The 27,964-nt window shown below is 48.7% G+C and overlaps 1 long non-coding RNA gene across 7 annotated transcripts in view, besides 3 other annotated features; it reads left to right on the top strand.

Moving 5' to 3' along the window:
* Positions 1-27,964, top strand: part of LOC105371742 (uncharacterized) — a 163,994-nt gene that overhangs the window by 70,959 nt on the left and 65,071 nt on the right. For all 7 annotated transcript variants that reach the window (XR_001752848.3, XR_934691.4, XR_001752844.3 and 4 more), the window contains exon 3: positions 24,598-24,783. This is a non-coding gene — a long non-coding RNA (uncharacterized LOC105371742). The remainder of the gene's footprint in view (positions 1-24,597; positions 24,784-27,964) is intronic.
* Positions 14,315-14,609: a silencer, noted in NCBI's record as "tiled region #1211; K562 Repressive non-DNase unmatched - State 22:ReprW". NCBI's record gives its function as "represses a minimal TATA promoter and a strong SV40 promoter by Sharpr-MPRA in K562 cells {active_cell/tissue: K562}" and the evidence as "EXISTENCE:reporter gene assay evidence [ECO:0000049][PMID:27701403]".
* Positions 25,357-25,891: an enhancer, noted in NCBI's record as "H3K4me1 hESC enhancer chr17:33153567-33154101 (GRCh37/hg19 assembly coordinates)". NCBI's record gives its function as "activates a minimal SCP1, AML or CMV promoter by ChIP-STARR-seq in naive H9 embryonic stem cells {active_cell/tissue: H9 hESC(naive)}" and the evidence as "EXISTENCE:reporter gene assay evidence [ECO:0000049][PMID:30033119]".
* Positions 25,892-26,426: an enhancer, noted in NCBI's record as "H3K4me1 hESC enhancer chr17:33153032-33153566 (GRCh37/hg19 assembly coordinates)". NCBI's record gives its function as "activates a minimal SCP1, AML or CMV promoter by ChIP-STARR-seq in naive H9 embryonic stem cells {active_cell/tissue: H9 hESC(naive)}" and the evidence as "EXISTENCE:reporter gene assay evidence [ECO:0000049][PMID:30033119]".

Below are 27,964 nucleotides of genomic sequence, written 5' to 3'. Positions count from 1 at the left end.
CCCTGCACCCTTTCATTGGCTGGTCCCATCAGGCAGCTTGGGAAGGTGGAGGAGGGGTGCACTGGGAGAGTGCTGGGGCTGTGCAGCTCGGGGTCCCAAGGCCAGGAACTGGCCAGCCGCTGTTGTCTGACGCATTCATCCTGGGCATGATGGCCAATTAGTCATTGTGCCCCATTATGCCGCCTTAACAACTACGTTAGAGGCAGTCAGCACCCATGTTGTGTGGCAGCTGCGATGGACGGCGGCAGTTGTAATTAGCAGAGAAATCAGGGAGGAAGAAATGTGAAGCTTTTATAGTCAAGCAAACCTCAGAATTGAAATGACTGCTAATTGTGCTTTGTGAGCTTATTAGCACGACTCTGGTTAGTAAATAATGCCCCACATCTGTGGGCTTCTCTCTCCATTGTATTTGGGGCTGAGAATAAGAAAGAAAACAGCTTGTCCTTCTTTAGTGAGCACCTACTATGTGGCAGGCATTATTCTAACTGCTTTGTGTGTATTAACTCATTTGGTCTTCACAGTTATGAAGAAACAGAGGCACTGGAAGGCTGAGTGTCTTGCCCCAAGTACTGCAGCAGTAACTGAGCAAACAGGTCTGGCTTGGATGCTCTTAACCACTGGGCTGTAGGCACAAAGCTGGGTCTTTGTGTAAAGCAGGAGAGTGTGGGAAAAGTCAGAGGGTCCATGACCTTGGATGGGAAAAAGTTGCATCTTCCTTTTCACTAAACTTTAACTGAAATTGAGCATTTCCTTTCATTATGAAAGCAGGTAACAAACCATGGCAGAATTAGCCACACCTTGGATTTGTCACTAATAGGAATCATAGATGTTTTCATACTATATTACAGATGTTTTAATACTTTGAAAAATAATTTTTGCTCATCAATTACTTCCTACCACAAGATCTTGTCATATAATACATTGATAAAAAGGCACATATGTTACTACAGATTGCATTTAAAAAGTATTTTGATGATACTTTGATCCTATATATTTTATTTTATGCTTTTAAAGGCATAATTCTGAGAAGGATCCTGTGTGCTCACCAAAGACAGCCACAGTGCAAAGAAGATGATGAATACCTCCTAGAGGGTATCTCTGGGCCTCACTCATGTGCCCCAGAAACCATGTTATTTGGCAGTGAGTCAGTTAGATCTTGGTTCACACTCTTTCCACTCTATATGGAGCTACTGGCAATTCCTGGAATGTGCCAAGTTCTCTCTTTTCCACACCTTTGTGCAAGCTATTCCCCATGCTGGGTCAGCTGCCCTCCCCGCCCCTCCCCCTATTCCCCATGTTGGGTCAGCTGCCCTCCCCGCCCCTCCCCCTATTCCCCATGCTGGGTCAGCTGCCCTCCCCACCTCTCCCCCTATCACCTGGCTCCTTGGTGCTCTTTGGGAAGTGAAGTGCAGTGACTCCTTCTCCCTCTGGGAAATCCTCCCCAGACCCCCAAGCTGCGTTAAGTGGGCTTCCCTTTGTGCTTTCCCAGGGTAAGCTCCAGGGTGGTATCTATCATATTAGATTGGCTCTTAAAAAAGTGAATTGTGATGGAGCATTTTGGAGAGATAGGCTTCTGGAACACTGGGGTGGTGAGCAGGGGCTTTGTTTGGCGACACCGAGGCACCAACTCTGTTTTCTACTCTGGATGAAGATGTGGCTGGGTCAGCTTTAAGAGTCTGGAGCGTCTATGAACATTCTCTGAAATGAGAGCACAGAGACCGTCAGGGTCAAGTGTCTGGTTGATGCCCTCGCACGTGGAAGGGCAATGCCGTCGCTGGAGTAGGAGGAGGCCTGCCTTTGTGAAGAGGGTCTCCAGCAGCTGTGCGACTGACTAGGCCTCAGGGTCCAGGGACATGCAAAGCAATGCTGTACGTGCTCCAGCTCTGGATGGCGGTTTAGGTTCCCCACAGTGCATGAGCAGATGTCCCCTTCCTGCCGACCCACAGCTCAGCGAGATGCTGCAAGCCCCCGCTTGCTGCAGTGCTGCAGGTGCTGTTCTGAGCAGATTGCATGGAAGAACTCATTTAATCTTCAAAAGCCCCCTAGAGATCAGCACCATTATCTTGATCATAGATATGTGGAAACTGAGGCACAGAAAGGCTCCATGCCTTGCCCAAGATCACGGTGGATGGAGTCAGGAGTGAAATCCCAGCACTCTGATTCCAGAGCCAGAACTCCGAACACCAGACCCGTTGCATCATGTCTGAGACACATGCTCCAGAAGGTCTTGTGTAATTTAGAAACTTGCATAATTTAGAACAAATCCTGACAAAGGTTGGTAGGTGTTTCTGTTTATCAGTTAAAGTGGCATTGCTGTGCGGTAAGCATGCAGACAGTAAGTTTACAATTCACTGGCCTGCCAGCTTCAACATTCTTCATGCTTAAAAGCAAATGTTTGGGATACATATTATTTCAAATTTTGAATATAAAGTGAGACTTTATTAATATCTTTATATCATAGTGTCAGATTCACATAATGCAAAATCTCATAAAACATGGGGACGCTATTACTGCCGAGTGGCTTTGATTTTGATGAGTTTGGGAAGGCTAGACTGTGAGCTGCTCCAGGGAAGGCTCGTCTTTATTCATTGGCATCCCATGTGCCTAGCACAGTGCCTGGCACTCAGCTCCAGGAAGGGCCACTCAACAAACACAATCTAATTCAAAGCAATGCAGTTTGGTTGGCTATGAGTTTGTTGTTGTTGTTGTTGTTGTGGGGGTGCAGGGATGGGAGCTACCTTGAAGGTTATACATCTGAATAGTTTTGTTCATCCCGAATTTACCCCCTCCTTTTTCTTCCTTAAAAGAGGGACCAGAGGGAATTAGCTGATAATGAAAAACGGGGGCAGGGGCAAGGAAAAAGCCAAGGATGGGCAGCAGGGCAAGAGCCCACATTAAAGAAAGGGGATGTCTGTGTCCAGGGGGCGGGAATGACTTATGTATTGGTTGGGGTATTTGTCTTTCAGCAATGAAAACCAATTCTGGGTAACTTCACAAAAAGGGGATTCAATTTAAGGTTTATTTGTCCTCCCGAGATCAAAACGAGGCTGGGAGGGTAGTCTTGGGGACAGCGTGTAGTGAGGGGGCTACCACAAAGCAGGAAGCCCGGAGAGGAAGCAGGGCAGCCCAGCCAGGAGGCTCTACCACGGGTGAGCCTCCAACCCTGCCCACAGCACACAGAGTGGGGGGCTTCGTGACAGGGAGGCTGGGTGCTTAAAGGCAGGGGATGTGGCCGCTGGTGTCCTCACTTGCATCACTGAATGGTCAGGTTGGAGGGACAGGGAGGGTCCTGTGTTGCAGATGAGGCGTTGAGGCCTTGGCCTCTCTGCAGTAGTGACACAAGCAGGACCAGAGCTTGTCTCCTGGATGCTCTCTCCAGAGAGGGGCAGAAATGTCTTAACATTTTAAAGGGCCTTCAGAGCACCCTCAGTCTTCATCATGATAGGCCAAAAGCTCTCCCACCAATACACCTTGACAGGGCCTCCCTCCTTCTCACCCCAATTCTTCCTTAACCCATAGGATGTAGGGTCTGGGACAGTGTTGGGAAGTGGAGGGATGGAATTCTGATCAACTCCAGGGGGTGGATGGCACCATTATACTGTGATGGAGGGGTGGTGTATGGGGCTGAGGATACAGGCATGGTGGCCCCTAACCACACCCACCCTACCATGTTTCTAGGTGAGCAAGGAGTAAGATGGGATGATGGCCTTGAAGCGCAAAATAAGGAGAGGAGCTTTCCTAGAAGTGTATAAACCCTGGGTTGGTGTGGGAGGGGTAGTTGGAAGTCATTTTCATGTTCCTTTGTGTGCTTTTGTGCTACCTGCTTGTGAATATATGGGCCCTAGATAACTGACTGCCTGAGGATATGGCCATGGCCTGCACTTACCAGTTCACTGGGCTTCACTCTAGGTAGGGCATAGGGGCAGGGAAGAGAAACTAAGATTAACTGAGCACCCACTATGTGCCAGAACTTTGATGTGTGTGATATCATTGAATCCAATATTTACCCCAACCCCATGAGGCAGTTATGATGACTCAGTCTTACTGGTGAGGAAATCAAGGCTCAGGCAGGTTAAGGTACCTGTATAGGCCCCCTCGGCTGAAAAGGGGTATTTTCATTCTGAATAAAGACTACCTTTTCCAGCTTTCCTCACAACTAGGTGTGGCCATATGACCAGATTCCGGAGAATGGAATGAAACCAGAAATGGTCTCTGCAACTTCCAGGAAGTGTCATTAAAGGGAGGAGAGGACCTTCTCTTCTGCTTTTTCCTCCCTGCTGGCTGCAATGCAGATGTAATGATTAGCACTGCACCAGCCAGAGTGGGCCACGAGGTGAGGTTAGGGAAGAGGCTATGGAGCAACAAAATGGGTGGAGCTGAGTCCCTGACACCGAAGGCACCCTGACAACCCTGGGCTCTCATCTGGAATGTGACAGCTAAGCCCAATTCTGATTTATATATGCCAACTTACAATCACAAAATCTATAAATTTGGAAAGGAGAACTTTATTTCTTGTAAAGGATTGCAACCTGCAGGCTGGGAAGCATAGCCTCCCATAGGGACGGAAAGCAGGCACTTAGAGGGAGGGAAGATGTTACAGGAGTTTTCTGCTTGGTAGATTAGCTAGACATACATATTTAATAGGTTATAGGAGGAAGATACGAATATTCATGAGGGGAAGTCACACTCGTGTGGAAAGCAAACATATATGTTACATACATCCTCTATTTGTTTACTGTGGGGTGGAGACAACATTAAAATGTAGTAAAATTAAGCTATATATGTCAAAAGGCACAAGGAGGACACAGAGGCACCCTGGGCATAGCTTCTGTGAACTGCCAGACCCAGCTTGGGGTTGGTAGTCACTTATAGGGAAGGAATGCTGGTGAGAGGGAAAGGGAGTGGTGCCAGGCAGTTGGTTGAAGTCAGTGAAGGACTGAGTCTTCCGTTCTTTGTTTCCAGGGCTGGTTTCTGTTTAATTTTTAGAAAAGAAAAGTCTACTAGTGGTTAGCAAGGGACAGGGTATAAAGAAGCAGGATTGACCTGTCTTGTCATTACTGGAAAACTTAGGTTTTGAGGTTTTTCTGGAATCTTCTTGGCCAAGAGGGCTTCATTCAATTGGTTGGGAGCTTAAGATTTCATTTTCATCTCACGTGTGGCCCCTTCCTTGCTGGGGCTCAGCCTCTCTGGACCTCTGCTGGCTGGACCTGTGCAGTCGGGAGGGGTGACTGGGCAGCAGGGAGATTTCAGCTCCAAGGGGACAGAACATGGGAAGGGCTGGGGTCTCAGTTCCTTCACAAAGGGGAGTTCAGAATTAGCTGTTTGAGAAGAAAATGGTGTAGTGAAGGGGGAGGCGGTGTGGGACAGGGTCAGCTCCTGGCCTTGCTACCTTCCTGCTGGTCCAGCGCCCTTAAGCAAGTTGCTCTCTCTGAACCTTAGTTTCCTCATTTGTAAAATAGGGACAGTGATACCTACTCCACACCATTGTTGAGACAGTTGGAGACAGTATACATAAAGGGCCTGTGTGAGGCCGGTGCTCCATGAGTGGTAGCTCTTATTTTTATCGCTGGCTGAGAGTCAAAAGATCTAGAATTTTGGGTGTGCCATTGTGATCACGGGGTGAGACATTTAACTTTTCAGACCTTGGTTTGTTCCCAAGTAGAATAGGGGGGAGGATGGCAGGTTGGACTGCATGAACTCTGTGGTTCCTTCCAGTCCTGATATTCAGTCCAGTCCACCCTGCCCTCGTTTTACAGACAATAAAACTGAGGCTTATGGTGGCAGAGACAAATGACTGTGCTCCCCTTCCGTGGTATAGAGTTACTGTTGGGAAGCGGCTGCCCCAAAGGGACTGGACTTTTCCCAGTCTGGTTCTCACCAATAGAACGTGAGCTGATAGGATGTTGTATTATTACTCTGGCCAAGAGTTAGGGCATGGCTGTATCTTCTCCATCCTCTCTTCTGCTGTCTGCCTGCTGAACGTTGTGCCCTGGGCCATCTGGGAAGCTGCATGTTGAAGATGGCAGAGCCTCTTGCAGCCTGGGTCTGTAAATGGCACCCTCTCTTCCTCCCATCCCAGTGCAATTTTGGACTCTATGTGGTCAAGGCACATGCTTGCACTGAATGAAGGCCCTGGGATTTCAGGGTTTATCTGTGTAGCAGCTAGTGTGATCTTAGCAAACACACCCAAGAGGTAGCGTGGCTTGGCCAGCATCTGGGCCTCCTCTCTGATGCTTGGTGGCATTTTATGTGACAGTCTAGACCTCTCAATCAGTTTGCCAGTTCGTTGAGAGCCAGGATAGCTGCTCATACTCCTGTAGGCTCATGACAGCGGGCACTGGCCACTTCTCATCCACCCCACAGGGATGACCTGCTGGGACCAGGCACTGACTAGTCAAGCCTGGTTGATTTGAACTGGGCATCCACAAGGCACCGCCTGAGGCCTTCCAGGCTGAGAGCTGACCCTGCCCATTGGGTTCCACTCCCACATCCCTGGAGGCACTAGGGTTTGGGAACTGCAAAGCCATGGCCAAGGGAGCAATGGAGTTAAACTCTCAGAAGAGGGTGGGGGCAGAGGAAGGGCAGGAGCCAAGATGATGGGGTCCGGGAGAGGTGTCTTTGAAGTGGAGGCAATGATTCTTCGTGGAATTGAGGGTAGAGATCTGGAATGGGGCCAAAGCCCTGATCTGAGTCCAGCTCTGACCCCAACTTGTAGGTGACCCCACACAAGTCTAAGGTCACTGAGGAGTTGGTGACAGGAACAGAGACCCAAACCCAGCTCTCCATCTCCAGCCATGGATGAGCTATTTCTGGAAACTACCGTCGCTTCTCTGTCTTCCCTGGAACCTGGGCATCTCTGATTAGGATGCTAATGGAGGGAGGGGAGTGAGGAAGCCAGGGAGCTGCAGAGCCAGAGAAACACCCGGGGACTGGGGAGCCAGTGGCTAATTAAAGGCTCCATGTCAAAGAGGAATGCCAAGTAGGTAATTTCCATGCATTTGAATAATGGGGAAAATGGTTACCATTTCTCAAGTTTGCTTGTTGAAAAGAGAGAGGGGAAGAATGAAAGGAGAGGGGAGACTGTGGCTGCAGGGATCTCCACTTGCTGTTGAGGAAGCTGGGAAGGGGCAGAAGCAGACTTGCTCCAAGAACAGGGAGGGAGGGAGAACCGGAGGAGGCAATTTTCTGCCTTCTTCCCAGAAGGTCCTAGGAAGTTCCCTGAAACCTGGGCTAGGGGAGAGAGCAGCCATGCAGAGTGCAGTGATGCTAGGTCCCAGGAGAGTTAAGGAAAGCCCCCCTCATGGGTGCACCACACTTCACAGTTTACATAGCTCACGTACCTTCTTTGTCTCACTGCATTGCTATGACAGGCTGTGAGGTGAGCAGGGAAGGGATGGTGATCATGATGATGTTGATGATGATTCTGATTTTAGAGGTGAATCACTGAGCCCCAGAGAGCAGGAGTGAATTGCTCAAGGCCCCATTTGCTTATGTATTCATTCATTCATTTAACAAAGTTCTTTACTGGGAATGCCAGACTGAATATCAGGTCCAGTGCCATGTGAGAAAGGCCCAAGGATGATAAAGGCCCAAGGTTGATGAAGACCCAAGGATGAGTAAGACACGGTCCCTCCTGTCAGGAACTCGGATTCCACAGGGAGAGACGCAGGAGGTGAAGCCATACATCGCCAAGTGCTGTGGGTGCTGAGGTGGAGGGACCTAGCCTACCTGGGGCCATAGGGACTTCCTGGAGGGACTGCCTGCAAGCTGAGGTTTCAATCAGGAATTTGCCAAGTGACAGGGGAGGAGCACATGCCAGGCTGAGGGAATAACATATGTAGAGCTGGGGAGAGCCAGGAGGGCTTGTCTTGTTCAGGGAATATGAGAGGCCCATTGAAGAAGACAGGAGGGGTCATGGGCTGGGGCAGGGTTGAGGGCTGGGGCTGGAATCCTTGGTGGGAGAGGGATGAGACCACAGAGGCAGGCCCCAGACAGGCTATGGGTGAGCCTCGTGTGCTATACTAGGATGTATGGACTTGATCTTCAGGCCACAGGACCTAGAAGGTGGCTGAGGAGGAGCTAGTGGAATGGAGATCACCCCATGTCCAGGGCTGCTGCTGTCTCTCTGGAGCCGGCCATAAGAACCCAGCCTCCCACCCCACTTCTCCTGCCCCCAACCTCCCCATCCCAGTCCCTTGAGCTTCTTGAAGTCATGGACTCCCAAGAAGAGGAAGCCAAGCTGTGGGAAGGAGGGTCCCTACTGCTCTGGCCTATTCTCCCTTTTTATTTTCTGTGTTTCTGATGCTTTGTGGTCTGGGGCCTGGCTGACCTTGGAGAGACTGCCTCTCCCATTGCCAGCCAATTCCTAGAGGGTGCATTTCCTATGCAAACCAACTCATAGAGAGTCCCTACCCCAACCACCTTCTTTATCATGCTCTTATGCTGATATTCCTCTGCCCTAATCACCCCAACTAGAGATGGCCCCTACATCTCAGAACTCGCTGAAATAATGCAAACCAGCCAATCCTGAGCCTGCTTACCCTGCCTCACCCACCCTTCCTGTAAAGACCACAATAAAGGCATTTGCCCATGTTTTCATCTTGCTCCCTCTGCCTGCCGAACAGCCCTGGCTTCCCATGTGGCCCCTGCATGGCTTGGCATACCCCCTCCCCTTGGGAACGGTAACAAACCATCTTTTCAATGGTAGCCACTCCTAATCTGTTAGCCTCACCACACCTGAAAAATAATGAAATGCACATTTTAAAACACCACCTTGCATCAGTTGCCTATTGATGCATAACAGATTACCCCAGAACTAAGTGGCTTAAAAAACAACAAATACTTATTGTCTCTCATAGTTTCTTTGGGTTAGAAATTTGGGAACAGCCTAGCTTGGGGTTTCTTCTGAAGTTACAGTCAAGATGCTGGCCCAGGGCTGCAGTTGTCTGAGGGCTTGATTTAGGCTGGAGAATCTGCCCTAAGATATTCATTCCATTGCAAGATGGCTCACTCAATGCCTGGCAAGGTGGTGCTATGGTCAGAAGACCTCAGTCCTTCACCACTTGGACCTCTCTACAGCTGCTTGAGTGTCCTCACAACATGGCGGCTGGCTTTCCCGAGCCAGTAAGAGAGAACAAGGTGGAAGTGCAATGATCTGGCCTTGGATGTCACCCACTGTCATTTTGCGATAACCCCTTGGTTACACATTGTGGGAGAGAACCACACAAGGGCATGAATATCAGGAGATGAGGATCAGCCAGGCTGTCTTGGAGGCTGGACACCACACCCCTCCTTCCAAGGAAGAGCAGACAGAAGTCCTCCTCACCTCCCGTAGCAGGACGGTGAGATAAAGTTGTCTCCTTGGAGAAGGAGGGCAGGGCTTCCTAGGTCACTGGGACAGGGCAGGTCTCAAATGGCTGTGCCACTAACCGGCTGTGTGCCCATGCTCTTCAGGCCTCTGTTTGCCATCTCTGTGCTGTGGGAAGAACTTGTTCTGCTCTGTGGGGCTAGGAGAGGGATGGAGGATCCAGTTTCTAAGGGGGTGGTCCTGAGAATTGCAGAACATAGAGTCTTCCCCCTTTTCATTCTTAATCTTGTTTCTTCACATAGTCAGATAATCAGTTTCCCTGGAAGTCTTTGCAGCAATAAATTTGCATAACCACCCAAATAAGCACCATTCTTTCCTTTAAGTTAACCTTGGCCTATATTTCCAATTAACTGTGCAATTAAACCAGGGTGAGGCTTTGCTTTCTTACCCCCATGACCATGTCTTTCCTGGATGGCTTGGAGCAGAGGCAGAGGCCTATATCAGCTCTGCTCACCTCCCCAACATTACCCCACACACTGCGTGGCCAATGCCCGGGGGTCAGTCTGGGCCAGCTCTCTTCTCTCCTTTTCAGCTTCCCTTGGTGGTGAGGGACTCAGGATGTTGGAGCAAAGAAGGACCTTAGGACCATCTCATGTAATCCTTACATTTTACAGATAAGGCTCAGAGAGGGCCAGCAAGGGGTCAAGGTCACACAGCAAGTTGGTGGCAGTAATACTGGGGCGAGAACCAGGTCTTCTGACTCCCCTGCAGGGCTCTTTTGTTCTCCCTGTTGGGTATGCCCAGGAGATGCCCAACTGTGGTTGTTCTAGATGGGTCTTGGGCCACTGTGACTTAGACACTCCCGTCTCCCGGCAAAAGGCAGGGTGGGTGCCAGGGTGTCAGGAGGGAGAGTGGAGAGGAAGGGAAGCTGTCAGTGTGGAATGGCCAGACCCCACACTTACCTGGTGGAGTGTGTGTATACGGAAGAGAGGAAGGTTAGGGGAGGGGGCATACATAAGAGAAGAGAAAACGTGGACCCAACCCTCTAAGCCTATTGTGCTCAGGGGAGGAATGACAGAGCAGGAAGTGCTCAGAAAGCTAGTGCAGAATGACCCAGCCTCCGTGGGCCTGGAGGCCTGAGAGACCCTTGAAGTTTGGCTGCAATCGGAGTAGTGCATGTGAAGAGGAGGGTGAGCTCCCAGCCCCCAGCCTCACTCTGCAGGACACAGAAACAGGCCACCCCAGGAAGGGACGAGGAGGCATGGAGCTACTGATTGGACCCTCAGCTTCTTCTCCCACCTTGCTAGGGATGGCCCTTGTGCTCACAGCAGGGTGGGAGGACCCTCCTTCTCTCTGGCCTGGGCCGATGATCAGCTGTATAGCCCTTGGTCAGTGAGGCCCAGGGAGGCTCTGATATCCTGCAGGGTGGCCTCCTCCACTCCTCTTCTAGGCTCTTCCACTGCCTACACTGCCCCATGGGGTGGCAGGAGTGAGCCCACTCCTGGCCAGTTTCACTTAGTAATTTCTAAGTCTTCAATTTTGGCCATTCCTCTCCCCTCAATTGTCCTCCATTGTGAGCTGAGAAAGGCAAACACATTTTGATCTTGGCTTAAGTAAAGCTGAATCTCAGTTTAAGAAAAAGAAAAGAAATCAGCTAGAGCTAGGAAGATATCAGCCCAGGTCCCCAAGAGTAAGTGGCTTCTGAATTATTCAAAGACTAAATTTCTCTCCCCATTAGACTAGAAACGCTCCGAGGGCAGGGTCTGCGTCTGTAACATCAGATGGCAGGGAAGCAGGCAGGAAGCCACATATGTTGAGGGCCTGTTGTGTCAGGCACATAGTACCTTGGAGGAGGGGTGAATGTTCCTGGTGTGGTACCATTTCTGTTTCCACTTTATGGCCAGGGAGCCTGAAGACCAGAGTCACACAAGCCAGTATGTGGCAGAGAGGGCTTTGGAAGCTGGGCTTAGGTGATGTCAAAGCCTAGGTGTTTTTCCCTACACCATGCAGGCAGGCAGAGGTGGCAGGTGGGGTCCCACCCCCATCCCCAAGCCCTGCAGTTGTTAGCCTTGCCAAAACCCTCAAGGAGCTGGCGAGGAGCAGGGGCCCCAAGGGAAGCCAGACTTGCCACCTGCAGGGGACTGGGTAAAAGCAAAACACTGACGCTAATTGGGGAGCAAGAGCCCCAACACCCTTATTTCCTGTCTTGGCTGCTTAGCCTAACAAAAGAGCTTTGTGTAAGTTGGCCCAGTGACAGCATCTTGTCATGCTCTTCCTTCCTCCTTCAGCCCGGCTCCTTCTTAGATTTTTTAGTGCTCCTTCTACTCTCTATTGCCATTTGATATAGAGTCATGGACAGGAGACCTGGGGTGCTGCCCGGAGGGCCACCAACTTGCTATGTGATCTTGAGCAAGTTGCTTAACATCTCTGGGACTCAGTTTCTCCACCTGCAAAATGGGAGGAAGAGGACTGGATTGGATGGTTGCTAAAGTTCTGTGATGACTTTCTTCCCATCTTGAGGACTGGTATTTGGGAGGGCAGCAGGAAGCCAGGGGCCAGGCCCACTTCTCAAGCTGCAGAGATGAGAGACGTCCTCACGGAGAGGTGTCTTTATCTGATCACAGTCTCATTAGAGAGAAATGCCATTTGATTATAATTTGCACTTTCTTTGAATTGTCAAAATGTTGACATACTCACCCCAATTTCTACCTCCCTGTTCCACTTCCTCTCCTACTACCTGCTTTCTATGCCCCGCTGCCGACCAATGTCAGCCCTGGCTTTGTCTTGCCAAGTTGCCTTGTTCCAAAAGGATGACTGAGTTCTCCAGGAAGGTCATGCTGGGCCTCAACTGCAGCCCCTGCCTGGCTTTAGAGTGAGACTCAGGTTTGTAGGATCCATGATATGCCTGGAACTGTGCAGTGTGACCCTCATATTCACCATTTTTTTTTTTTTTGAGACAGAGTCTCACTCTGTCGCTGGGCTGGAGTGCAGTGGCGCGATCTCTGCTCACTGCAAGCTCCGCCCCCTGGGTTCACGCCGTTCTCCTGCCTCAGCCTCCCGAGTAGCTGGGACTACAGGTGCCCGCCACTATGCCCGGCTAATTTTTTTGTATATTTAGTAGAGATGGGGTTTCACCGTGTTAGCCAGGATGGTTTCAATCTCCTGACCTCGTGACCCACCCGCCTCGGCCTCCCAAAGTGCTGGGATTACAGGCATGAGCCACCACGACTGGCCCGTATTCACCATTTCTAAAGAAACTGAAGCTCAGAGAGGCTGAGAAACTTGTCCAAATCACACAGTGAAGTGATGGAGTCAGCTTTTAAATCCATCTATCCATCTCTGAAACCATGCTCCCCTCCCTGCTGCAGGCTGTTCACTTGTTTGGGGATGTGCTATGGGGCAAGAGCAGTGGCCTGGCCGGAGGTGATGACAATGATGACAGAGACAACATTATAGTTGGTACTCAAAGTGTGATCCATGGACCAGGAGTGTAGGCATCACCTGGGAGCTTACTGAAAATCAGGCTCCAACCCAGACTCCAATCAGGATCTGCATTTTATCAGGACCCCTGGGAGATTCGAGAGCATATTAAAGGTTGAGAACTGTAGAACTCTTTCTAGCACATTGGCTCCTAGATTCCAGCCACAGGAGGCAGAACCTCATGATATCAAAAGGGCCTTAGAGGTCTTCAGGATGGTGGTTTCATAAACTGTGCCCTTTGGAGCAGTGGGGTTCTCAGAGATGTCTTTATGGCTTCTCTGGTGTGGGGTTGGGCCGAATCCAGTAGGAAGAACTCCAGAACTCCAGAACTCCCACCACCTGCCACCACCTCAACCCTGGATTAAGTTTTATTAACTTCTCATGGGACACAAATTCATTGGGGGTGGGGTTGTTAGGGTTTATTGCCTAAAAAAAGATTTTTAAAAACATGCTCTATTCCATCCTTCTAATTAGAAGGTGAAGAAACTGATAAACAGAGCATCAGGGACTTGTCAAAAGTCATAGAGAATCTAGGACCAGAATCCAGGTAGATCAATTAGGATTGTTTTTGGCTGCAAAAGTAACAGTAAACTCACTAACAGAGGCTTAAGCAAGTAAAATTTGTTTCACGCAACAGGCAGCCAGGCATATACTGATGAGTATTGGTACCTTAGCAGCTCAAGGGTGCATCTGGGGCTCAGAGTCTTCCTGGGTTTCCTTTCTGCCACCCTTAACCTGGGGCTTTTATCCTCGTGGCATAAGATGGCTGCTACTGCTCCATGTCTTACATCCATGTTCCACACATGGAGAAGAAGAAAGGATGAATGGGCAGAGATCATTCTTCCAGTTAGTTTAGTTTTTTTTTTAATTGAAGGAAGGATGCCCTCCTTAGAGGCTTCTTCCTATTGCTTGTAGTTCTGAATGAATGATGTGGCCACTCCCATCTGGAAGATAGCCAGAAGGGGAGTGAATTACAGGTTTGGGTCAAACCCCCTGATGGTGAATGTCTAGGGATCCTGTCCTGGCGTCCTGAAATTCTTCAGGGTCCCAGAATTGCATCTTTTGGGCTGAGATGGGGTGTGTTTGAATCAGACAGGCACCCGCTCAAGCCTCGAGCTTGAATCTCTCATTACGGCAATGGTCTTTATGAGAACCGTGTCCTGGCGTCCTGAAATTCTTCAGGGTCCCAGAATTGCATCTTTTGGGCTGAGATGGGGTGTGTTTGAATCAGACAGGCACCCGCTCAAGCCTCGAGCTTGAATCTCTCATTACGGCAATGGTCTTTATGAGAACCGTGTGGTGTGGGCACAGGAGCTTTGCTAAACAAAGACCTACAGACTGGGGGGCTTAGAGACAGAGGAACTGGATTACAGCGAAAACCACAAGGGCTCATTCTAATTCTCTGAGTATCTCCACTGCTCACAGCCCCTAATGAAAACATGTGTAAGAAACCCGCAAGGTTAATTTTGCCGAGAAAAATTCCAATAAAGCTCCATTAGATTTTCGCATTAAATTAATGTAATGGATGCTTAAAAGCCATGCTAATTAGGCTTTGTTATTAACAGGAATGTCAGGTGGATGGGATCTGGCCCGGAGCTGACATTTTATTCGGGCAACCTATGGGAGATGGATTTGCCAGTGGTCGGGAGACACCACATCATCCGGCCCCAGCTCTGACTCCGCTCACGCCTTGGAATGTCTTTAGTCATTTAAATTCATTTGCCTGGAACTGGCATTGTTTCTCCAGTAAGATGGCAAATAACAAACTTCATTTAGTCTTGGCTTTTATTTTTATTTTTGGATGTTTCCAACTTTCCCATCTTTTGTTTCTCTGCTAGGGTCATGGCTCTAACAGGTCACTCCCTTGCTCAGAAACCTTCAATGGCTCCCTATTTTCTATCAGATAAGGAGTCCCTGATCTGGTATTCAAAACCCTCTGGGATTTGGCTCCAATGCACCATTTCGGGCTCCCTTACTTCTCTCCAGGTATACAGAGGGCTGATTCCTCTCTGAATGGGACCTTTCCAATACCCCTTAGCTGTGGTTATAACTCCCAAACTCCATCATCTCAGCCTTCCAACACTTTTATTACTCTTTCCATTGTGTAATTGAGGAAACAGATCCTCAAACTGTCAGACCCCTGCCCACTCAGACCCCATGCCTCCCATATGTAAAAGCCCTGGCATGTTTTGGGTGCTCAAGCAAGATCTGTCTCCTACTTTTCCTCATTTCCCTCAATCTCTCTGCTGGGCCTGGTAGAACATCTTCAGGGTGGCTACCTGTCCTGCACCAGGGCTTGGGAATTCCAAATACCAGAAGGCATTTGGGGTGAGGCTCCATTTGGGAAAGAGGACTTTTACAAAGCTAGGGATGAGTAAAAGGGAAGGCTTGGTCCCTCCCCGTCCCATCATCCTAGGACTTCCGGCCCAGGCTATGTGTTGGATACTGGAGTGAGTTTGCATGCCTGTAGGAAGATACTGACTCTCCACCTCAGGCTTGTCTCGGTTTTTACAGGGGACAGACTGAATCTAAGCAGTCTGGATTTGACTGCCAGCTGTTGGTTGCCCAGCATCTCGGGGTCCTTGGGGCCCATGGGAAGCTGCAGGTCAGAGATGGGCTGGGAGAACGATGAGCACTTTAGGAAGCTAAGCTTAAGTGCAGCCACCCTGTGGGAAGAAGGGGACCTAGAATTACTTTCCAACAATCCTATTCCTGCATCATAGTCCAACCCCAACCCTGGAGACTTAAGGATATAAACCCTTTCACCAGGGGAACTGGCCTCTCCAGATATGAACTAGGAAGAGAGGGAGCTCATTTACGAGACTGCAAGCTGTCCACGGCACTAAGGAGGCACCTGGGAGAGGTCATTTATTTTTTCTTTTTTTTTTTAATTTTATTTTTCCATAAGTTATTGGGGTACAGGTGGTATTTGGTTACATGAGTAAGTTCTTTAGTGGAGATTTGTGAGAACCTGGCACACCCATCACCTGAGCAGTGTACACTGCACCATATTTGTTGTCTTTTATCCTTTGTCCCCTCCCACTCTTCCCCCCAAGTCCCCGAAGTCCTTTGTGTCATTCTTATGCCTTTGCATGAGGTCATTTAAACCTCTTCTTTTTCTTTTCTTTGGGATCTGTCATGTTTACATTCAATCCATGGGGCTGGCCATTTCCCCTTAGGGGTGAGTCGGATTTTCCCTTTGGGGTCACCATCCGCAAGGTACCCAGATTTGGGGTAAATTCCCTGGGATCTCACAGGAGTAGTCTTTGTTGGGAGAGTGAACAAGTGACCCATGGCTAGGGTTGGCAGGAGAAGAGAGGGCTTGGATCTTAGGAGCCTCATTAATCATCTGAAGGCTTTTTTTTTTTTTGAGTCCTAACAACTCAGACAGAACAAGGAGGAAGGAAGAGAAGAGCTCCCTACCCCCCTGAGAAGCAGCTGGAGAAGCTTAATACTTTCAAAACCACCCAGAGGCATTCTGAGAAAACCCAGCAGCAATGGAGATGGGACAGCACAGGGAAAGTAAATGAGGATCCTCTGGGCCAAACCTCCAGACTAGAGGACTTGCTGGAGGCAGAAATGTTAATGTTCCCTGCCATCCGGGGAGCCAGTCAAGTCAAAGGGCCAGCAGGAACTGTGTGTGTGTGTGTGTGTGTGTACGTGAGCACGCACCTGTGTGTGGTGTGTGTAGTTAACGCAGGGCTCCCACTGAAGAATAACTTGCCCAACTGACCCAAGGTAGGAGGCACATGCCTCCTCTCTCTTGCACCATGGAGATCTCTTCAAGACTGAGCTTGTCAGCAACCTTGTCTGAAATGCAAACCTATGCTGGCTATCAACACATGGCCAGGCCACAGCACACTGTCATGGGGATGAGAGGAAAGAGACCCAGGCCTTCCCTTGCTGACCCCATGTACAGCCCACCTCCCATAACTCTTCTTCATTAAGGCAGGCCATGCGGCCATGTGGGATTTGCCCCTGAGCCTTGCATGACAGGTGGCACCCAGATGGGACCCACCTTGCCTGACACCCTTCTCCTTGAATCTTCTTTAAATGCCTGAGTGACCTCTCTGCCTCACAAATCCTGCCCAGGTGGCAGGAAGGAAGTCCTGGTAAAGGTGCATGAACCCAGGTACCCAGTGTCTAAAATGAAGTGAGTGTGAGAGTGTGAGTGTGCATGTGTGCATATGTGAGAGAAAGAGAGAGAGAGAGAGAGGAAAAGAGAGAGAAAGAGATTGAGAGAGAGAGTCTGGTGGGAATCTGGAAGCAAAGGATATGAACAGCTAGTTTGGGCAAGGATGGAGGGGAGAGGGACCTCATATCGTGGAACGTGCCCCATCTGGCTGGGTTCAGGCCATTGCCACTGCCACTTTGGTGCTGGCCTTTGGCACAGGTGGGCAGGGGATCTCAGAACCTCTCAGAAAGGGGAGCCTGGGCAGTCTAGCCCACCACCTGGGGCCTTGGTGCACAGCTTATGGCTGTGAGTTCACTGAACACTGGGGTGAAATAACAAGCACTAAGGAGGCAAAGCTGCAAAGGAAAATGCCCAGGAAACCTTTGCCTTTCTGGTCTGGGAGGTGAGTTACGGGAAAGAGGACCAAAGGCCAAATGGTCTTTGGGAGAAATTTGTGCCTATATTATGGGTAGATTAGAGGCCATGGTGCTGGGGAGATTAACCCTTCCCTTTGAATCTTCCCTTCCCTCTCCCCTGCCCCTACAGTCAGAAGAAGCACAGGGCATTGAAAAAAGGGGAATGGGGGCCAGGTGCGGTGGCTCATGCCTGTAATCCCAGCACTTTGTTAGGCCAAGGCGGGCAGATCACTGGAGACCAGGAGTTCAAGACCAGACTGGCCAACATGGTGAAAACCTGTCTCTACCAAAAATACAAAAATTAGCTGGGCGTGGTGACATGCACCTGTAGTCCCAGCTACTTGGGAGGCTGAGGCAGGAGAATCGCTTGAACCCAGGAGGTGGAGGTTGCAGTGAGCTGAGATTACGCCACTACACTCCAGCCTGGGTGACTGAGTGACACTCCATCTCAAAAAAAAAAAAAAAAAAAGGGAATGTGGGTTATTTCTGCTCCCTAGACCTCAGACTCTACATGTGAACAACTGGAACAACCCTAAAATTTCTGTCCATTGCCTTCCCAACAACCCACCCCCCAATTCTTTCTTGGTATCAGAACTCAGATACTAGCAGCCATATTTTTCAGGGGAGTCTGGGACTCTTTCTACCCCAGGAATGAATCCTGATTTATCTAAAACAAATGTAATAATTCTATTTTGCTTGCTGTGGGGAAGTGGTGCCTGCTAGGAAAAGCTTTCTGAGATCTAAAAAACTGACTTGCCAGAAGTAGTTGCCCCACCCTGCCACCTTTGGATGTTGCTGGGTGGGAATGTGATGTCTGGAGTTGTGGCAGCCGCATTAGGATTACGGGGCCGGTGGGGAGGTGGGCAGATAAGATGCCAAGGAAAGGAGAATAAAGAGGACCTAGCTGAATTAACCACATTCAGAATTGCCTTACTGCTGGACCTGTTATGTGAAATAATAAATGCCTTATTTTAAAAACCATTCATAATTGGGCTTTCTGTTGTTTGCTTGTGGAAACAGTCAACCTGATCAAATTTCAAAGTCAGGATAAAATAATTCAGATTCGTCTGTCTGCCGTGATTCTTTCCTTGGGGGTAATAAAGACATTTTTGAGCTTACTGGAAACTGAGCTTAGCTGGAACTGTTCCCTTTCCTTCTAGGCAAGAAGAGTCCGGTTTTGGGGCCAAAAGGACTAGGTTCAAGTGTCAGGGCCTCTTTGCATGCACTGTATGACTTTGTATCAATGATTTAAACCAGGGATTGACAAACTTCTTCCGCAAAGGGCCAGATAGGTTTGATGAGCCATACGGCCACTAATGCAACTACTTAATTCTGTCGTTTTAGTTTGAGAGCAAGATATAACACACAAATAACATAAATATTTATTTATAACACATAAATAAGTGGCATAGCTGTGTTCTAACAAAATTTTATTTACAAAAATAGAGGGCAGACTGGATTCAGGCTGTAGGTCATGGTTTGCCAACCCTGATTAAACTCTCAGCTTCCTCACCTGAAAAATGAGGCTAATAATTTGTTTTCCTCATGGGGCAAATTTGAGTATCAAATGAGCTGATTTAAAACTATCACCTGGCTGGGCGCAGTGGCTCACGCCTGTAATCCCAGCACTTTGGGAGGCTGAGGCGGGTGGATCACGAGGTCAGGAGATCAAGACCATCCTGGCTAACACAGTGAAACCCTGTCTCTACTAAAAATACAAAAAAATTAGCCGGGCATGGTGGCGGGCACCTGCAGTCCCAGCTACTCGGGAGGCTGAGGCAGGAGAATGGCATGAACCCGGGAGGCAGAGCTTGCAGTGAGCCGAGATCGAGCCACTGCACTCTAGCCTGGGTGACAGAGCAAGACTCTGTCTCAAAAAAACAAAAATAAAATAAAAATAAAAGAATAAAAAAATAAAACTATCACCCTATAAAATACAATGTATATGTGGGCTGCCCTTTCCCATGAGAACCAAAGGTCCTGGTGCTCAAGAATGAAATGTTAGATTTTGCCACTTGCTATCACTGTGTGACTTTGGGAAAGTCACTTAACTTTCCTGAGTGTCACTTTTCTCTTCTGTCAAGTGGGGATGCTAATACCTACTTCTGATAATGTTGCAAGGTTTAAGTGAATAATGCATGTAAAGTGCTGCACAGACCAAGTCCTCAACAAATAATAGTAAGAATAGTAAGAATAATAATAATAAGGAGGAAAGCCCTCTGCTCCTGACCTGGCAGATTCCATCTCATCTCACCCACCTGTCCCTTGACATTTTATAAATCAGTTTCCTCCCTCAGTTTCCATGGGCCTAGGAGCCCTTGGGGGCTCCAAACCTCCCCCTGCCATGTGGACTGTCTCCCCCCACCACCCACCCAGTGCCCTCCCCACCACCCCCGCTTCCCCTTTTAACAGAACGAGTAATTAACAATGTTAATTCTAATCTCATTTGCTAATGAAGGCAGTCTAATTGCACCATAATTGGCAACAGCAGCAGCAGAAAAAAACACAAAATAAACCCTGCGTGTGTAATTTGGTTTAACTTCATTATAATTACCTTGCAGGCTGGGACCGGGTGGTTGGGGGTGGGCTTGGGAGGTTGGAGAATTAAGAGAGCAGGGGAGTCAAGACCTCAGGTTAGGGGAAGGGTTAACAAATCCTTTCTCCTATCAGACTCTCCTGATTATCCCAAGACCTCAGAGATAAACCTCCACAGAGAAGTTTCTGGAAGCACTTGGCAGAGGTTCTCGTCTTGCTAACCTGTTGTGTGACCTTGGTCAGCTCTTTCTGTATAGTGAAAGGCTTGTACTCCATAATTTCTCATTTCCCACCTGCTCTCAGAGTCTAGGACTTTTTGCAATTTCATGGTTGAAATTCTTTTAACATTCTAAATTCCAGGCCTCTCTCTTTTCACCAGAAGTGAAGCTTTGCACCTAAACTTCTTGCACAGCCTTCTCCCAGCTCTACCAGGTAACCTTACTCTGATGTGGAGGATCCTGAAAAAATAAGTAAACATCTTCTCTAAACCTTAATTTAATGTCTCCCACGTCTTACCCAAGTAAGCACTACTTCAGTAACTTCCCCTGCCCAGTTTTGGAAAGAAGCGAGCACCTAAGGTATTTGTTCTGTGTATACGTATAATCATTTCCATAGCAACCAGCTGAGATTTACAATAAGCTACAAACTGCTTTTGGTTAGGGGGTGGTAGGTGAGGAAATTTTGCATCTTATGTCTCTTAGAAGACATGTCAGAGCTCTTCTTCTGAGCCTGGAGGCTGCAAACGCTGTATCAGATGTGCACATCCACTCCCCCTGTTTTTAACTGCATCATGTGGTCTTTCATTTTTTTTTTTTTCTTGAAAACATCCCTCATGGAGCCCTCCATCCTTCCACTCTCTCGTGCACTGACCTGCGTAGCTGCAATCCTGGGGTTTCTTCAGCACCCCCTGCGAAACCCCTTAGCTTCTCTCCTGTTTGGACACCATGTTTCCTGGATCCCACACCTTCATTTTTTTCTTGGCTTTTGCTTTTATTCTGGTGGAGCATGGGAGATAACATTTCTGAGACTGCTTATGAGAAGTTTAATGCCATTCAGCTTCCTGATCCTTGGTATTGAGCCAGATTTTTTTCTTTCCTTTCTGGTTTCTTTAATGTCTTTTCTTCATCCTCAGTGTTCTGAAATTTCCTAATTAAGTGGCTTTGTGTCAGGAGGCCCACTAATCTGGAAACTCACATCCTCCAGTACTAAGACATTTTCTCAAGTTACTTCGGTGATAATTGCCTTATCTCTGATTCCATTCTCTTTCTGGATCTTCTGTTAGATGTTGGATCACCTGGACAGATTTTCTGAATTTCTAATCAATTTTCTCCTGTTTTTTTTTCATTCTTTTTGTTGTAATTTGTAGGAGATCTCCTCAACATTATTCATTAACCTTCCATTGGAGTATTTTCTCTTTTTAATTCTATAAGTTCTTTTTCATTGTCTCCTGATTTTAAAAAAATAGGATCCATCCTTTTTTCCTGTCTTTTTTTCATAGATGCAGTATCTTCTCTTATTTCTCCAAGGGTAACTTTAAGGTTTTGAAATGTTCCGCGGCTTCCTGCATTGCTTTTGTTTCTTCTGAGCCCCCTTTGCCCCATTTGTTTTGTTTTGGTTGTTTTTGGTCTCCATCTTTCCTGCTGGATGCTCCAGCTGCCTGGAAGCTCATTGTGCATGTGCCTGGTGTGTGGTGGATAGGGGTGGAAGGTGATCAGGCTGGAGGATGTCATTAGGGGACAGCCCCTCTCCATCTGTCCCTAGGCTGTACTGTTTCATCAGAGAGGAATCCCCCCAGCTCCAGATTGGATGGTAGAAACTGGAGGATATTCAGCATCTTACCCTCAGCCAGATCTTATTTGTGTTCTGGATTTTAAAGTCCTACAGATTCACTTCTCTTCTCTCTTGTGCTGGGGGAGTGGGGTGGTTTCTAGAGGATCTAACTGCTTCTTATGTAGAATTTCAATCAATGCTTCTGTTTTTATTTTTAATTTTTTTAGAGATGGAGGTCTCACTATGTTGCCTAAGCTGGCCTCAAACTCCTGGGCTCAAACGATCCACCCCCATCAGCCTCCTGAGTAGCTGGGACTACAGGTGTGCACCATTGTGCCCAGCAATGCTTCTGTTTTCAGCCTGAATTTGTAGCCCCTCTTTCAGAAGCAGCTGAAGTCACCAGTACGTGAGACTTTCTGGGCTCCTGCCCTAGGAACTAGCTAGTTCGTGGGCTTCCCCCACTGCTAACTTAGGTTTCAGCCTTCTTGGGGCTCCCAAATCAGTTATTATTCATCCATCTGCTTCCCAGCCTTGAACATTTTGTTGTGGGTTGCCTCATTTTCTGTTCTCTCTGTCTTTTACTTCTTAATGAAATCCCTTTCAGTTACTTAGTGAGGGATTGGGAGGCAGAGAGTTAGAGAATGCCTTCCTCATGTGCGCACAGCACTTTTGAGTTTACACAGTCCATTCACATCCATTCTCTCATGCGTCTCCACAAGACCCCAGTAGTCCAGGCAGGGTAGGAGGTTTTATCTGCCGTGTTTAACTAGAAATTGGAACATAAATCCTTAAGCGGCATTTGAACACAAGTGAACAAGAGTTAGAAGTGAGAGGTGATTTCACTACTGTCTCCTCTGCTTCCCCATGCTCCCCACATGGAATTTAATGAGAAGTGAAATGCCATTGATGACGAGGGCCCAGTGGGAAGGGGAATTTGGAATCAGGGCTTCTAGAAACAGTCTGGGTCCAGGGCACCTGCAGTAAAATTGCTTTGATGTAGTAACTGATGATGTGAAAATTAAAAGCAGAAAATCAAAGGCAAAGCCTGATAGTGGATGGTAGGCATTGAGGGAGGCCTTTGGAACTCCTTCCCTCTCTTCTCAACTCCTATTTTTCTCTTCATGCCTATCATTTCTGCTCATGTGCATGCAGGTACGTGTGCATGCATACCTGCATGTGATATGTACATGCATCCATGTGGGTGCATATATATGTATGTGTGTATCCGGAGCACATGTATCTGCATATGCATGTGAATGTATTTGTGTGTGGGGAGGTAGGGAGCAAAAATTACAGCTTGTGAATTTCAACTTGGCATAGTAAGAAAAGCTAAGGATTTAAATTAGACCTAGATTCAAGGATGCCTGTTTTCTTAGGCCACTCGAGCTGCTGTAAGAAAATACATAGACTTACAAACAATTTAAGTTTATTTCTTATAGTCCTGGAGGCTGAGAAGTCCAAGATCAAGGCACGGGCAGATTTGATGTCTGCTGAGGGCCCATTTCTCAGTTCATAGATGGCGCTTTCTGTGTCCTCACATAGTGGAGGGGGCAGACAAGCTCTCTAGGGCCTATTTTATAAGGACACTAATCCCATTCATGAGGGCTATGGCCCTATGACCTGATCACCTCCTAAAAGGCCTTACCTTCTTTATTTTATTTTGTTTTGAGACGGAGTCTTGCTTTGTCGCCAAGGCTGGAGTGCAGTGGCGCAGTCTCGGCTCACTGCAATCTCCACCTCCTGGTTGCAGGCAATTCTCCTGCCTCAGCTTCCCGAGTAGCTGGGATTACAGATGTGTGCCACCATGCCCGGCTAACTTATTTTTTATTTTTAGCAGAGACAGGGTTTCACCATGCTGGCCAGGCTGGTCTTGAACTCCTGACCTTGTGATCTGCCCACCTCAGCCTCCTAAAGTGCTGGGATTACAGGCGTGAGCCATCACACCCTGCCTAAGACCTTACCATCTAATGCCATCACCTTGGGGGTTAGAATTCCAACATGAATTTTGGGGGGAACACGAACATTCAGACCACACTACCCATACACTTTTAGGCAATGCTCTTGCCTTATCTGAATCGCTGCTTTCTTACCTGTAAAATGAGGCTTATGATGTCAAAGCTGGCTACCACGTCGTGTGGGTGCTTTGAGAGTTCCTAGAGCCGTCTGTGGGAAAACGCTTTGTAAAGCGTCAAGGCTTATGCAAGTATCATTCATTCATTCATCTGAGAAACACTTACTGAGCAGGGTCTCCATCCTGAGGAGCACACTTTCTCTTGGAGACAGAGACAGGCATGTACCCTACGCTGCACAGAGAGCCTGGAGGAGCACAGGGGAGGGGAGGATGGGTGTGAGCTGGAGGAGGAGGAGGCCCTTTAGTGGTCCTGGTTGGGAGTGCTGGATGTGGAGTCGATATTGGACAGGGAAGTGGAGGCAAGCAGCCTGGGTTAAAACACCTTCAGGCAGAGGAACACAAGTGCAAAGACATGAATGTGAGAGAGAGTGTGACCTATCAGTGATGTGCCACGAGTGGGTCTCAGGGACAGTGGTCCAGCCCCGAGTGCCACGATGCTCTGGCCCACTGCCTCCCTCCCCTTCCACTGGGAAGGGGTTCACTCTAGAGCCCATTCTTTTATTCACTCTTGAATGTAACAAGTATTTATTAAGCTCCCACTCTGTGCTGACCCAGTGGCAGGCTCTGGGGATGCAGCAAGGAACCCACCCAGTGGCACCTGAAGCCATGAGGAGCCCCTATTAACAGCCCCAGCTCCCATCACCCCTCCACCTGCTCAGGCTGGCTATGAAGATTCATCCAGAACAATGTCACTGCAGAATTTTATGCTGTTTTTCCCCCTTCCAGGGGAACGTCTGCCAATGGCTTTTACGATGCTGAATAAAATGCTTTTTTTCCCCTTTAGATATTTTTATTTCACCTTTAAAGGATGTACAGTAAGGGTGAGAACATCTCGATGAAATCTCTGCAGTAAATAACTCTTGGATCCCTTTCCCATACAAGTGAAAGGACAAAAGGATGATATGCTGAGATGGCCTCTTCACCTGCACCAATGCCAGGGCCAGGGTGGGTCTCAGCTACCCACCCCCAGGTACGGAGGGTCTGGAGGAAGGGGGGCGAGGCCCTCTATGGCCCCTGGGGTCCATGTGTCCTAGCCACTCTCCCCGTCTCTGGGAAGGGGCTGAGGGTCCTTGGCCTGCTAGAGTGCATGCCACATGCTGTGCTGGGTACTTCACGTTGGTGTGAGTGTTAAGTGGACAGGACTGCGGATCTGGTCTGCCTGAATTTGGCTCCTGCCTCTTTCACTTGCTAGCTGAGAGAACTTGGCCAAGTGACTTGACTTTCTGTGGCTCAGTTGCCTCATCTGTAAAATGGAAATGAATGTGTTTACTGATTAGGGTTGTTGGGATGAATACATAAATTCATGCCGGTAAAGAACCTAGAAGAGTGTCTAGGATATAGAGAAATGTCAACAAATGTCAGCTGTTTTATTATCCTTCTTATTTCCTCTTTGCCTCAGCTGAGCTGGCCTTGGCTGCATGCCTGTCTTACCTCTCAGCTGATGGTGTTTACAAAGGTCCAGCCTTACACCAACCTATGAGAAGGGTGAGGCTTGGGAGAGTTGAGTGACCTGTGTGAGGTCACCGAGGGGAGAGTTTAGGGGGTTTTCAGGGTTCAGGGGACAGTGGGGCTGAAGGATAAGTCTCTTTCTCTATAAAGCAGCCCCCGGGAGACCTGCACAGCCCCTGAAAGTTCAACTCCAGAAGAATCATTTGGAGATTTTCCTCTTGGAGCTGGAAGGCAGACCCAGAAGAGGTCAGGGGGTGGGTGACTTCCCTAGCAGAGATCCAGGGTCTGCATACACCTGTCTCCACTGACTCCTGGTCCTAATCTCACTCTTCTCTGCAGTGAATCCATTGAGGGTGGATTCATCCACTTGGGGGCATCAGACTTAAGAGGTTGCCCTTTGATCCCCAGACCCAGGAAGGGGGGCACCCATGGTCAAAACCAGTGGAGATTCAAATGCTTGACTCTAAGCTGGGCTGTGCTCTGTGTTGTGGGTGGCAGGGGTTGGGTCGTGGCCAGGGGGCTTGGGGTCAGCTATGACACATGCCTACAGGCTCTGCTGGACTGAGAGGTACTGACTGCAACTGTTTTTCATGAAGCTGTCAGCTGGGCCCCCGGGGCACAAGGAGCTGGCTGGGCAGAAAATCATCAATTTACACAGATGATGAGTCAGAGGCTTGGGTGGGGCAAGGGCCTGGGGGTCAGCAGGGCAGCATTGGAGGAGCTCTGTCGGGAGATCATGACATAAACAGGCTCAACTCCGCTCTGGTGGCCCTGACCCCACTCACCCAACCCCACTGCAGAGGCTTCCCTTTGATGCTCAGGTCAGTTCAGCAAACCTGGCCTCAGCCTCAGCTCCATGCCAGGAACTGAGCTAGTGCTGGGAATAGAGAGAGACCGCAGTCTCTGCCCTCAAGAAGCTGGGTCTGATGGTGGAGATGAATACTTACACAGGCAACCCACCATGTGATATTCATCATGAGAGAAGCACAGGAGAGGGCTGGCTCTGGAACTTGATTGCCTATGTTTAAATCTTGGCTCAGCCTCCCCCTAGCTTTAGGACAGTGTGCACGTTATTGAACCTCTCCTTGCCTCAGTTTTCGCATCTGTGAAATGGGATGAACTGTAAGCTCTTTGTGACTATTATCGGTGGGTAACAAATACCTCACACTCAGAGATGTAAAGAAACGACCACTTTACTATGCCTGGACAGATCCTGTGGTCAGGAATTTAGGAAGGGCAGCAGGTGGTTTGTCCCTGCTCCACGATGTGGGGGGCCTCAGCTGGAGGACTCAAATATTTAAGGGGGATGTGAGTGGCTGGAATCATCTGGAGACTTCTCACTCACATGTGACTCCAAGGCTGGACTCAGCTGGGACTGCCAACGAGAGCACCCACGAGTGGCCTCTCTGTGTGGCTTGGGCTTTTCCCAGTGTGGTGCACTGGTTCTGGGAGGCACATCCTGGGAGGAAATGTCTGGAGGGTGAGCATTTCGAGAGACCATGGTGGAAGCCATGTGACTTTTTATAGCCCAGCCTTAGATGCTACATTGCATCCCTTCCACTGCACTCCTATTGGTCTAGGCTGTCACAAGCCTGCCCAGGTTTACGCGGAAGGGATGGTTTTAAAACTGTCACTCTGCCTCATAGATTTGGATAATTTAATTAAGGAGACATATGCAGGGTCCAGGACAATGCCTGGCGTATAGTATTATTATAGTTGTTAACAAATGTATTATAGTAAGTAATACTTAAATGTTAAGTTTTACTATAATTAGTAAAGTATAAATAAATGTTAAGTATTATACTTAGTGCTGTTGGAGGAAGGAAGTGGTAAGGAAAGGTTTCAGAGAAAAGGTGCTATCTGAGCAGGGTTTTGAAGGATGAATAGGAGTTTGCTATGAACCTTTTAAGGAACACAGTTTAGGTAGGGGAAACAGCTTGGGCAAAGTCACAGGAGGCTTGAAACAATGACATGCTTGGGGGAAACCATGAGTAGTCTGGTGTTCTTGCAGCACTGAGGGCAAGGAAGAGCATGGCTGAAGTGAAGTTGGAGGGTTGGTGAGGTAACAGGGTCTTGTGGGCCTGACCGAGAAGTCTGGGTTTTGTTCTGAGAGGATCAGGGAGCCATGGAGGGTTTCAAGCAGGAGAGTGACATGGCCAGGTTTGTCAGATCATTGTGGCAGCATTGTGGAGGAAGTGTTGGAGGGAGTAAAGTGAAGTCTAGGGGCTAGTGGGGAGGCCCTAACAGAACAAGGGACTGACCTAAGGGTGTGGCAGTGGGGACTGAGGGAGGGAGAGGATGCAGAGCCATCTAAGCCATGATGTTCATTGAGCAGGGGATCATGGGAGGTGGGAGTGGTCCAGGGAGGTTGAGGCCTGTGACAGGAGCGCTAGGTTGGATGACATCGTTCTCATTGCTGAGCAGAGGCAGGGGTGTGTGGCCACCTCTCACCCTCCTCTGGGCCAGGCCTTCAGCCTGCCACCTCGCTAGAGGATGCCTTTAACCACACCTTTGTCTCCTTCCAAACTGGGCCACGCAGCTTGGGGTCCGATGGGTCATGGAGGTGAAGGAGAAAGAGTAGAGGAGGACTCCCTCATGACAGCAAGGTCAATGTCTTTTGCCTCCAGTGCCCCAAGTTTGTGAAACCTTTCCCAGGAACAGAGGGGGCCTCTTTCCTCAAAGACTTTCCATGGGGTGAGGGC

This window comes from Homo sapiens, chromosome 17 (assembly GCF_000001405.40).
Source record: "Homo sapiens chromosome 17, GRCh38.p14 Primary Assembly".
In the NCBI taxonomy this organism is placed as follows: Eukaryota; Metazoa; Chordata; class Mammalia; order Primates; family Hominidae; genus Homo; species Homo sapiens.
This window is presented reverse-complemented; position numbering and strand designations above follow the sequence as displayed.